This window comes from Homo sapiens, chromosome 4, assembly GCF_000001405.40.
Source record: "Homo sapiens chromosome 4, GRCh38.p14 Primary Assembly".
NCBI lineage: Eukaryota > Metazoa > Chordata > Mammalia > Primates > Hominidae > Homo > Homo sapiens.
The window spans coordinates 100,496,951-100,510,476 of record NC_000004.12 but is presented as its reverse complement, the minus strand read 5'-3'; the positions used below and the strand labels follow the sequence as shown (position 1 = coordinate 100,510,476).

Genomic DNA, 13,526 nt, shown 5'->3' with positions numbered 1-13,526 from the left:
CCAGAAGCAGAAAATATTTAAACAATTACAATGTTAATTCTCGCAAAGTGAAAAATGAGCATCTGAAAATTTTTCACAATAGAACTGTTGTAAGATGACTGCCAAGTAATATTTTAATTACAATATATGCAGGCACAATTTTATACATTATATGCAAACAGGTGTATTTTCTCAAATATCTTTCAGATTTATGTTATTTACCTTCATCTATAAACTAATCACTCAAATTAATAAGCAAAATTGTGTTTGTATTTAATTAAAACTCTTTTTAGTCTGAAAATAGTCAACATCCTCAAATATTGTTACTACTCTCATAAAGTATTGAGTGTTGCTTAATCTGAGAGGTTGAATATGTTAGTGGAAGGAAACACGGTATTAATGTGAAAACTTAAGTTTGAGTCTAGCTTCTAAGTATGTTCAAATTGGCCCAGACATTAAATCTTTCTTAATCCCAGTTTCTGCATGTAAAAAATGAGAAGAAAGATACATATTGACATGGTATTGGTGTTACATGACAATGGGAATACCCATTTTAGATACTGTGCACATCATAAATTACTAAAACATTAGCTATTATTGTATAAGTTAACATTAACTCACAGAATCAAGAGAGAAATAGGAAACCGTTCCATAAATTTCAGAATTTTCCCTTACTAGTTGGGCCTTTAACTGCCATTGTATCATTTCTATTTTAGCCATAATACCTTTACATAATTTTTATGGCTGTTCACATCCAAATGGCCATGTGTTGAAATAATGCTTCAGTTATAAAAATCACACACACAAAACACGGAAAACCATTTGTATCACACATTGAATTTATTTTTAACTGAAGTGGGAAAAGAAATACTTTTTTGTGGTATGAACTGTGAAATCGCCCTCCTAGGGTGTTCAGCAAGTGTGAGAACATAAGCGTTGAGTTCTTGGGCACTCTCCCCAGGATACAAAGGCCACTCCTACATTAATGAGCTCAAAGCCATTGTGACAACTCTAAACAACCATGAGAATTCTCCAATTATCTCTCTCTGCAAACCCAGTTTTTAAAAGTGGGACTCACCTTTTTTAAATGCACAGAGTGAACTAACTTAAAGATTTATTAACTAATTGCATTATTGGGATTAGAATAATTAAATGATGTGATCAGTGAACTTTTTATTTTTTCTCTTTCCTTTTCATTTTTTGACAGCCTCATTTGTTGGGTACAAGTTTTATATCAATTAAAGTTTAAAATTCTTAAGGTATACAAAGGAGAAGAAAAAATCATTTAGACATCTATTATTAGGTTTTGTTACAACTTAACTGTATATAGGAAGCAAGGACAATTTCTAAGTGACTATTTTTGTGTGTGTTTCCCAAGACCTATTTTTGGGCACATAGGTGATATTTCGTAGCTAGCCCTTGCTTTAATTTGGAGAATTCTGTTTCTTCAAAAGTCAGAAGAGTTGAAAATACCCAAGGCATTCCTAGATTTGTTTTCAGTTACTTGAGGGCAATATTTATTTTTATCCCTGGCCTCTGTAGAGCGGAAGCAGTAAGTGTATTTTGGAATACTCGTTTGGTTGGCTAAACTTATTTGATTTGCTTTATGAAGTTGACCTACCCTCTTACTATTGTATAAATAGCAGAAAATACTTAACTTTGAATTATAGTGACTGTTCAAATCATACCAGAGTGTCATGAATATCTGAACACAAGTGCCAAGTCATTCCTATTACTTGCTCACATATACAAAAATTAGTGGTCTGTAATTCATCAGGTAATTCTGAACCATTTAGATCAGATTAGTCCCCACCCCCACTAGGATAGACTGTAAAATTATGAAAATTCAATTGTAAAGGCACTTTGATTACATAGTTTGCCTTTCCAACTCTGAAGTCTTAATTCAGTATGTTGAGTAATTAACTTTATCCTAATCTTGTGCAGAAGCAAAAGCACCACATAATTCAGTTGTTCCTAGATCAGTAAATAATCCAAACGCCCTTTGTGCAATTGACATGAGATAAACCACCTTGTTCTTTGTTAAATACAGAATCCTTTCCCCATAATACATATGCTATTCATTAGAATATTACATAAAAGAAAGGGTACTTTCACTAAAAAAAAGAATATATTTGGCAATATAACAACTTTCTTATATTTTTCCCATTGAGCCCTGACTGGTGTGACAAGCCAGCATACTGAAGTGGTGAAGAGTACACTGAACCTTTGAGCCAAGAGCACTTGGGTTAGTTACCAGGGGCCACATGCTTGCTGTGTGACTGAGGCAGGCAAAATTTTTAACCTCTCAAGGCTTTAATTTTCATGTCTATAAAATGAGTGTGGTTTAATCAAGTGATATGAAAGATTTCTTCCAGATCTACAGTTCCATAACCTTTGTGTAACAAACAATTCTTATACATTTTGCCTGAAGTTATCTTGCTTCATTTTCATCCTGTTATCACTAGATACGCTTCTTCTGCAGCAAGATGTTTTATTCTATTCCCTAATGTTTACTTCCTTTAGAGATTTTTCAGTTAGGGATGTTAGAAAGTGTCCACTTTGCATGTAAAAGGCCAATTCTCTGTCATGAGAGTTATTTCTCATAGTACACATCAACAAAAAAACATGTTTTTCATTTTTCCATGTGGTCTCATTTTTATGCAAATGGGAGATATTTGTTAGGCGTGGGGCTAGAAAAAAGACTTGGAGAGAGGGTGGGGACAGAAACCAACATCCGGAAAAAAGATTGAGAATAAAAATGAGGTTAAAAGAGATTGAGGAAATGACAGATGCTGGGAGAAAGACAGAAACTGTCTAAGACAGCTGGGAAGCTGGGAAGAGGAGATGGGGAAACTCATTAATTGGTCTAAGGATTTGGGAAGAGTATTCTGCACAGGCCCTCTAGCCACTCTTACAAGGCCAGTACCCAGTGGAGTTCTTCCTTCTTGCCATTAAAGCTCTTGCCAATCCTTCTTCCCTCCATCCACTCAATGTGCAGTGTGCTCTTTTCACTGTCCCATACCCACAAGGTAAGCAGAGATGTTTACCTTTCTAGGAAAGTGTTAGAGTCTAGGGCTTTCAGGGAAAATATTGGTATAAATTTAATCTAAATTATTATTATTATTTTTTGCTTGTACTAGTTTAAGATAAATTTGGCCAAGGACAGATTTGGTTAATACAAATATTAGTCAAAGTGCTGAAATCTCACTAGGCATACAGGCTTAAATTCCAGCTTTGTTTGACAATCTCCTCGCAAAGAGGCGCCCTTCATCTCCTAATCATTATAAAATCATATCAATTGCTTTCACTTCTACTATTAAAGTCCCTCATGTTTTCATTAACATTGAATGATCCTGGGCCTCTATCCTATAGGGTACTCAAGAAATTTAGCCACATTTAAAAATAGTTTTATTAGAGAAACAACTATGGTATTCCCTTCAAAGTTTCAAGTGGGATCAAGATGCATTAGATAATCCAAACACAAATATTTCTGGTTCCCAGAGAACTGTTAACTGTAAGAAGAGTTTAAGAATATATAGAGGATTAAATTACTAGCATTTGTGAGCATGAAAAAAATGCAGAAGCTATGATATTATGAATCTAGGCTAGAAGGGTAGTCACACTTCTAGTATCAAAAAACAACAGACTGAAATTTGTCAACTGGTTCATTAGCTTACCGTTACTTAATGAATTAGGATAACTTACAAGAAGAATTTAGCAGTCTATCTTCCAGAATTTACAAGCTAGCAACCCTTAACCTCTAACTTGAATGTCTGTGTTGTTTGGCCACACTAAACATGTAACATACCAGGTGTGTTTTATGACCATATAAATATTTACAAATATTTTAAAATAAGGAAATTTTGCAAAACAACAATAACAACAATAAAAGAAATAAAGTTGTATTTTCAGGGTTTTTTTTTTGACAAATTGGACTTCATATCCCCTCATGATATTATTCAGTTAGATCTGAGTAATAAGCACCCCTTTAAATTGAGAAATGCCCCTTTTTTCTACAAACATATATGCATTTAAACCCTACCTTATCCTCTTTTACCTCTCTGCATGACCCATGGGCATTTGGGTTAATCTCATCACCTATTTCATAGTAGCTGTAGGGTTTTGTCTAAGCATTAGGCATACGATTTGCAAAGCTGTCACCATGTTTGTGGTGACTCAATGGATATCGAAAAGATAGGGTTCTGGGGGCCTTTTTCTACAATTAACTAGGCTTGCCAGCTCAATCTCAGAATTTTAAAGACACATTCTAGGTGCCAAATCTTTCCATTTTTCATAAAGATGATTGCTTTTATTAAAATGTTACTATAAATAATTAACTTAGCAGTGATTACCACTCTTGTTTCATAGTCTTAGGAAAGCATAAAACTTAGAAAATGATTTAAAAAACATAGAAACCACAAATCATAAAATGTAGTTAAAATTCTATTTTATTTTTGTTTCCCACTATCTCTTTAATATTGATTTGGTGAATATAAACTTTTCATCTTTGATGAAACTATTGGAAACCTATGGCTTTTTTGCTCACCTTTAAGAAATGGACAGTTTTGTGGACAACTAAATTTTCAGAGTGTATCAATTAGAAATTAGAATACATAATCCAAAATTATAATTAAAATTTCTCTCTTGTAGGTCATGCCAGTGTGGAGTAGGATTCTACAAAGTGGCTTTTTTTAGAGGTCTCTATTTTTCTGCTTCCTCTCTCAAGCTCCTTTCTGACCAACTGTACTGGGAGCAGAGTAAGGGAGGAGTGAGAGGATGAATGAAAGACATTACTTGATGTGGCGCCGTAAGCTGTGCTCACAGTCTGGGAGATAGTTAAAGCCCAACTGCTGAATGGTGTATTTTCAAGGGTTCCTCAAAAGTGCACTTTTCAGCCTCTCTCCTCTGTAGTTCCTTGCCTCATGTGGGTGAATCCCTATTCTGGGAGTTCACTGGTTACCCCTTCCAAAGCACTGGTCATCCTTGTTAACCGAGAGCTTCCTCATGTTCCCAGTTCTCCAGACAGAGCTAAGGAATGGAATTCAGGATAACCCTAAGCCCACACTCTCATTCTCTCTCCCTTTTATTTGGCCCACAGGAAACAGTCCAATACCTCTTTCCCTGGCAACATCAAGCAGTGCAGGCTTTGTAGGGTCCAGCCCCACAGGGTCAGTGAGTTTTTCTCCCCGTGTGTGGAGATGAGAGATTGTAGAAATAAAGACACAAGACAAAGAGATAAAAGAAAAGACAGCTGGGCCCGGGGACCACTACCACCAAGACGCGGAGACCAGTAGTGGCCCCGAATGCCAGGCTGCACTGATATTTACTGGATACAAGACAAAGGGGCAGGGTAAGGAGTGTGAGCCATCTCCAATGATAGGTAAGGTCATGTGGGTCACATGTCCACTGGACAGGGGGCCCTTCCCTGCCTGGCAGCCGAAGCAGAGAAAGAGAGAGAGACAGCTTATGCCATTATTTCTGCATATCAGAGACTTTTAGTACTTTCACCAATTTTGCTACTGCTATCTAAAAGGGAGAGCCAGGTGTATAGGATGGAACATGAAAGCAGACTAGGAGTGTGACCACTGAAGCACAGCATCACAGGGAGATGGTTAGGCCTCTGGATAACTGCAGGCAGGCCTGACATCAGTCAGGCCCTCCACAAGAGGTGGAGGAGTAGGGTCTTCTCTAAACTCCCCCAGGAAAAGGGAGATTCCCTTTCTCAGTCTGCTAAGTAGCGGGTGTTTTTCCTTGGCACTGACTCTACCGCTAGACCGTGGTCCGCTTGGCAAAAGGCGTCTTCCCAGACGCTGGCGTCACCGCTAGACCAAGGAGCCCTCCGGTGGCCCTGTCCGGGCATAACAGAAGGCTCACACTCTTGTCTTCTGGTCACTTCTCACTATCTCCCTTCAGCTCCTATCTCTGTATGGCCTGGTTTTCCCTAGGTTATGATTATAGAGCGAGGATTATTATAATATTGGAATAAAGAGTAATTGCTACAAACTAATGATTAATGACATTCATATATAATCATGTCTATGATCTAGATCTAGTGTAATTCTTGTTGTTTTATATATTTTATTATACTGAAAAAGTTCGTGCCCTCGGTCTCTTGCCTCAGCGCCTGGATGGCTTGCCGCCCACAAGGCTTATTCTCAACATGGTTAACAACTCTCCCGATCCTACATCAAGGCATTTAGGCAGCTATCGGCTATCTTTAATTCTCTAGATTTCCCAGGAGTGAGTCAGATCCTAGGCCGTTATGCCTTCCAACTGTAAGGATCACATATTAAAGTAGGTTTGAATTGAGGGAGCAGACAAGCCCTTCTCCTTGGGGATGGAAGAGGTGGGAATGGGATTCAGAAACAATATTCTACAAAGACATCCTCTTCTCAAATAATTCTCTCTCTCTCTGCACACATACTTTGATTTTGTTTACGTCATGGAATAGGTAAAGGGTTTACAGGGTTTATCAAACAGATTATAGATATTTTACTTGAAAATTTGCATATGGTTATTTTTCCCATCTTCTTGTAATTTAACATATCTAGATATCTGGTTAAAACTTTAGTATTCACATATTGTGCTTGATATCTTGCACTAACATTTCCTTTGAAAATAACTAAAGATCTGAATGTGTATTTTCTCTGGGTTTAATATAATTAGATAATAAATCAATATTATAATTAGGAAAATAAAATATCTGTATCTTTCCCAGCCTGGATAATATGGCAAAATCCTGTCTCTACAAAAGAATACAAAAGTAAGCCAGGTATGGTAGCACATACCACCCCAGCTTCCTGAGGTGGTAAGATTGCTTGAGCCCAGGAGGTCAAGGCTGCAATGAACCATGATCACGCCACTGCACTCCAGCCTGGGTGACAGAGCAAAACCCTGTCTTAGAACTAAAAAATAAAAAAGTAGATTGGTGAAAATAATAAAAATAAAAGCAAAACTAATGAAATGGAAAAGAAATACATAGTGCAAAGAACACCCATGTGTAATGATAAGGTTGGTAATCCTCTGCTGATACTAATCAAGAGAGCAGAAACAAGTGAATAGAAATGAAAAAGGAAATACTACTGCAAATTGTGCCAAAATATAAGTATAATAAATAGATATTATGAAAAGCCTTATGCCAATAATTTTGCCTTATGCCAAAGCCTTATGCCAAAAATTTATGTAAAGTAAATAAATTTCTAAAAACTATAGCCTATCAAAACTGACACAAGCAGAAATACAAAACTTCGGTAGGCCTTAAATTGTAAAAGAAATTAAATCAGCCATTAATAATCTTCTCACACAAAAAATTTCCAGCCCAGTAGGTGTCACATGGAAGTTATACAAAATTTTATTTTATTTAATAAATAAATTCACTTTTATATAAGCTCTTCTAGAGAATAAAAATAGAAGTTTTATTTTCCAACTTATGTTACAAAGTTAGCTTATTGTTGAAACCAAAACCTGACAACAATATTATAAAAGAAAAATGGTATAGACCAATCCCATTATGAAAAAAGATTTTTTAAAAGCCAGCAAAATGTTTAAAATGATACTTTTATTATATCAAATTGAGATTATATTATCAATGTGAAGTTGGTTTTACACTAGAAAATCAATTGACATAATTCATTACATGGAAAAATAAAGAGAAAATATATGATAATCTCATTGAAGCAGAAAAAACACTTCTGCACATTTAATATTTATTGCTGATAAAAATGCTTAGAAAACTAAAACAATAAGAGGATTTTCCTAATCTAATAGAGCAGCTTCAAAAACTGTAGCAATCATCGTGAATAATAGTAAAATGTTAGCATTTTGTGAGAATAACAATAAGACAATCTTGCCCAACAATTCTACTTTTATAAAACTTTGTACAAAATATCCTAGCTAATGCTGTAAAACATGAAAAATGAATATATTAAGAATTGGAAAGAAAAAATCAAAATTGATATTATTTGTAGATGTTATAGGACATTGATATAGGAGTTAAAAAGAAATTGTTTAGGCAGTTAATGAGCATAAAAGATTTCTTGGTGGAATTTCCTTTAATTAAAAGCAGCCCCCAAATCATTTTTTTTCTAGGGCGGCCTGAAAAATCAAGCCACAAGCATAGATATGCAAGCTTGCATAGGTAAATGCCTGCAATTGTACCAATAAAAAAGGGATATCTGGAAGCCAGGTATATTCAACATGGAGGTTTTGTCTTCCCTTTTCTTTCTTGCCACATGTGCAGGTAACATGGCCCCAGCCAGGTAAAGATCCCATTTGCATAATAAGAAATTAGGGTGGGACAGCCAGGCTCTTCGTGAGCTATGTAAATGTTACATCTAGTCCAACCAATCCACTACGTTCTATATAAATCAGACACCACTTCCTCAAGCCCCTCTATTAAGCCCACTGCATCCTGCCATGAAAAGGAAGACCTTTTTGGAACCTCACTTCCTTTACGTGGGGGAGCTTTTCTCTTCTTTCTTTCGCCTATTAAATTTTCTACTTTTAACCCCACTCCTTGTGTGCTGCATCTTCAATTTCCTTAGCACTAGATGACGAACCTCGGGTATTTCCCCAAACAAATGACACCATGTAAACATGATTGTTTAAGTACAGTATTTATGAGAACTTATCAAAAAAAAAAACCCACTAGAATTAAAGAGTTTATCAGGGTCTCTGTATATAAAGTTTATGAAATCAATTGTATTTCTATTGATGCAACAAATAATTAAAAAGAAAATGTAGCAATATGCCATTTACGGAAACATAAAAAAGCACCTACAAATAATTATAATAAAAGATGTGCATTATTTGTATGAGAATAATTATAACACTTTATTGAAAAGTTAAAGAAAACTTGAAATAAAGAAAACTGGATTGACTGGGCAATCCAGTATGTGGAATACAAGAAGCTTTTTATAATTTTGTATAAAACTGCACAAAACCAAGAAATCCTTAGTAATTTTTAAAGAAGAAAAACAGGAAAGGATAACATAACTCTACCATTTATAGAGTCCCATAACAAAGATACAGTAATTAGAACAGTCAAATTGGTGCAAGGTAGACAAATCAAGTGGTAGTCACATTGATGCCACATAGATGAATAGAAAAGAATAGAGAGCTCTGAAACTGACTTACAGATATATAGGTCTTTGATATAAAACAAAGATGGTATAACGGAGCAGTGAGTAATGATTGATCTTTTCAATAAATGCTGCTGGTACCATTGGGTAGCCAGTGGAAAAAAATAAATTAGACTCTTACATAGCACTACATATGAAAGCTAATTCCAGATGAACCATTGACTTAAATATGGAATGGAAATCTTTAAAACTTTACAAAAAATAGGAGAATAGCTTTATAACCTTATTTCAGGAAAACACACAAAAAAGCACTAACCATAAAAGAAAAGACATACATTTCATTGCATTGGAATTAATTATTCTATTTATCAGAAGATGCAGTGGCAAAATTGAAAATACAGCCACAAAATGGGAGAAAATATTTGCTGTGTATATATAACTGACCAAAAAATGACTCATCTTAATATAGAAAAAAAACTACAAATCAGTAAGAAAAATAAAAACAACCCAGTCAAAAAATTTGGCTGACTTAAGTAAGTACTTTCCTTTTATGCAATAATAGAAATAAAAATATGTTTTTAGCAGAACTTTTGAGAATAGCTCAAAATTAGTGACAGCTCAAATGTCTATCAATTGCAAAATAAATATGTAAATTATGCTTTATTTGTTCAATGTATTGTATATACCAGTGACAATGACTATAGCTATAATCAATAAAATGAAAAAAATTAAAATATACTGGGCAAAACACAATGCCTCAATATGTTGCCATTTACATAAAATTAAAACACTGAAATCTAAACTATATTATATTCACATGTACACATAGAGAGTAGTTCTATAAAGAAAGGCTAAGAATGATTACCATAAATCAGATTAGCAGTTACCTCTAGAGTAGTGGAAGAGGGATATAACTGATACGTTTACAGTCCCAAGGAGATTTTACACTGCTGGTAATATTCTATTTTTTAATCTGGGTAATGATTACACCAGGTTTTCGCTAAGATTTATTCATTATGTTTACATTTATATTTTGTCATGTTTTGGTCTGTTAGCTTTTATAGTTGTCACAAACATTAGGCAGAAATAAATAAAACTCAGATTTTGAGTTTAAGAATTTTAAATTGAAGCAGGGAATCTATTAAAAGTCTTATTGGGGAAAGATGATAAGATCCTTCAAGGTCTTAAGAATGATTACTACTTAAAAGAGACTGAATGTATTTAATTCAAAAATCTTAAGAAATATCAGGAAAACCATGGAGAGAAATGTCAGCAGCCTCTGATGTGTTTTGTGACAATAACAAACTCTTTTTTTTACAAATAAATCTGTATTATCATTATTCTTTGTACACTATTTGAGGATTTTCCATTTCCCCACATCTCTAGAACAAATCCCCTATGAACAAAAAAGATATACTTTACACTTTTAAGCTTTAATTTAGCTATTATCAATTGCTCTCAATGATACTCTGCTATTCTGAATTTCAGTTTCTCATTAAACCTTACCTATTTAGGGTTCAAAGCCTCACTTGTAAGGCTTGCTTAGGCTTGTCATTTTGTAGGGAGATAGCTTTCTGTAAGATGTGACTGCCTCAAATTATTTTAGCAGTTAAAGGTATTCACCATCTTTAATTAGTTATACACTAATTGATTTATCTGTTGTGCCACTAAATTGAAAACTGACCCCAAGGATTTGTGGCTAACTGCACACTTCAAAATCCTTGTTCTGCATGGGGTCCTTGTCACAAGGCTAGGACAAAAGGTTTGTCACGAGGCTGTCTTCTGAAGCCCAAACTGAAGCTTGCTTACAATGCTTCTTGGTGCTTAAGATAGACTATTATTAGTTGGAGAAATGTTTGAATTCTTCTGAAGACTTTAATTCACTTAAGTTTGATTTTCCTCAAATCCCATCTAATTCAGGGCAGAAAAGGTAATTAAAAAATGTAAACATCTTAAAAACTAATCAATTGTTAAAGCACTTATGAGCAAAGCCATGAAGTTTGTTCTTTGATGAATCATTTCAATGTGGTAACACATCTGACATTATAATGTAATACTAATATTGCCATATTTGTGTATTTAATTGAAAGTTTACAAAATACTTTTACATACGTTAGTTCTACAAAACACTTAAAAGCAGTCAAAGTGGTAAATGTTAACTATTTTCAATTAATAATAGAGTTTTGAATACTTAAGGGAGTTTACTTAACAAAATATATAAATGGGATTAAATGCTAAAGGATCCCTAGAATGATGACTGCATTCACTACATTAGTAAATGGAATAATCACATTTGTAAATTAAACTTAAAATCTTACAAGATAAATAGATTTTTTTATTCTGTAACTTAAAAAAAAATGGAACATTAACTTCTAAAGCCTAATTAACCACTGAAAAAATCTTTTCTGCAAACAAAATGTACACTTGAGGATATTTTTTAAAGAATACATTTAATAGCTCTAAGAACATACCTGCAAAGCATACTAAATAGTAGTATAATGAAAATAAGATATGTAAGTAAATTATTTGAATTGATAAGGAAAATAAATAATTAATGTTTATATCATCACCTAGCACAGCCCTGGTACATATAGGCATTCTGTAATTATCTGTGTTAAATGAATGAAAAAGATTCATTAAATGTTTAAATGTAGAGTTTAATAATTGTTATGCATAGGCCGGGCACGGTGGCTCACGCCTGTACTCCCAGCACTTTGGGAGGCCGAGGTGGGTGGATCACCTGAGGTCAGGAGTTCAAGACCAGCCTGGCCAGCTGGGCATGGTGGTGGGCGCCTGTAATCCCAGCTACTCAAGAGGCTGAGGCAGGAGAATCGCTTGAACCCAGGAGGTGGAGGTTGCAGTGAGCTGAGATTGTGCCACTGCACTCCTGGGTGACAGAGCGAGACTCCGTCTAAAAAAAAAAAAAGTGATACACTGTAATTATGGAAAGTATCATGTTACTTTCATGACAGAGATATTTTACTAATTGATTTAGCTTATAATTATAATTTACATTCCTTGACATGTCTCCAAGAGAGTTACTTTGTTCATGAACTAGATTTGCCTATTTATTTTCTCCTAATATTAGGAAAATAAATACTTTTTTTCATCTAGCGAAACAAATTTTAGGCTGAAATTCTTTTTACTTTCATTTACAGATTGGAAAATTAAGATAGGCAAATGATATAGATGTGTAAATTTGGTTGGTATTAAATTTCATTTCAGACATTGTTTCTTCAGACTAAACAGTAAATCATTCCAACTCCTTTCCTTCTCCTTTTGGAATCCAATTTACATCTTTACTCACATTAGTTTCTCTTCTTTGACAACTTTGCTCTTGTTTAAAATTCACAAAAACTGAATTCCTGCTGTAATAAGAATCCAACCACTATTGAAAAAAACAGCAATAGTTATCTCTTAATACTTAAATATCATGATCTCATCACTCTAGTACCATTTGAAAATAAGATTTTAAAATAAAATACCATATTAATGACTCATTTCCTACTTAGGGTTCCTTTGGTTTTACATCTTTCCTGATGCATTTACTCCTATACTATTTTACTAAATTTTTATGTATCTTTTTTGCTCTTTTGTTTTTTACTTTATATTTTTTCTTCTGAACTTTATCCTATACATGAGCAATAATTTCTCAAATTATTTTTATATTGTCATTTTCCTTAGTATTATCCAAGACCTTAAAAATGAAGTTCAACTTGCTCTTCTTTAAAAACTTGATTTGGGCCTGGAGCGGTGGCTCACGCCTGTAATCCCAGAACTTTGGGAGGCTGAGGCAGGCGGATCATGAGGTCAGGAGATCGAGACCATCCTGGCTAACACGGTGAAACCCGGCTTTACTAAAAATACAAAAAAATTAGCCAGGCGTGGTGGTGGGTGCCTGTAGTCCCAACTACTCAGGAGGCTGAAGCAGGAGAATGGCATGAACCTGGGAGGCGGAGCTTGCAGTGAGCCGAGATTGGGCTACTGCACTCCAGCCTGGGCGACAGGGCGAGACTCCGTCTCAAAAAAAAAAACAAACAAACAAACTTGATTTGCATTACTTTTTAAACTGTAAAGTTCATATTCCTTTGCAATGCTGTACTAAATCTTCTTTAGATTGACTTTGCTACTTACTGGCTCATAGGTTAATCTAGTTTTTTTTTTTTTTTTTAATAGTAACAAGAGACAAAAATCAAAAGCCTTACTCAAGTCTAGCTAGATTATTGTAGGTCTTATACTTCCTTTTTTATATATAATTTTTTCTTGTCATAGGGACTTTAGACATAAAGCGGTTTTTAATCAACTACATGGCCCTTAGTTTCTACCTATATTATCAGTCCCTAAAGCAATACTGAAATTTGGGCTTCCCTGACTTTATTTCTCAAAGCATGCTAATACAGTTCTTAAGGCATGCTAATATGAGAAAAAAAAAAGGAAAGAGAGAAAATGGAATGGGACTCACTTTCT

General features: G+C 34.5%; 1 protein-coding gene and 1 long non-coding RNA gene across 5 annotated transcripts in view; one reads left to right on the top strand and one right to left on the bottom strand.

The window, feature by feature from the left end:
* EMCN (endomucin) overlaps positions 1-13,526 on the top strand; it is a 122,682-nt gene that overhangs the window by 7,546 nt on the left and 101,610 nt on the right. The gene's annotated exons all lie outside the window — the stretch shown is intronic.
* LOC124900740 (uncharacterized) overlaps positions 1-13,526 on the bottom strand; it is an 89,972-nt gene that overhangs the window by 866 nt on the left and 75,580 nt on the right. The window lies entirely within an intron of this gene.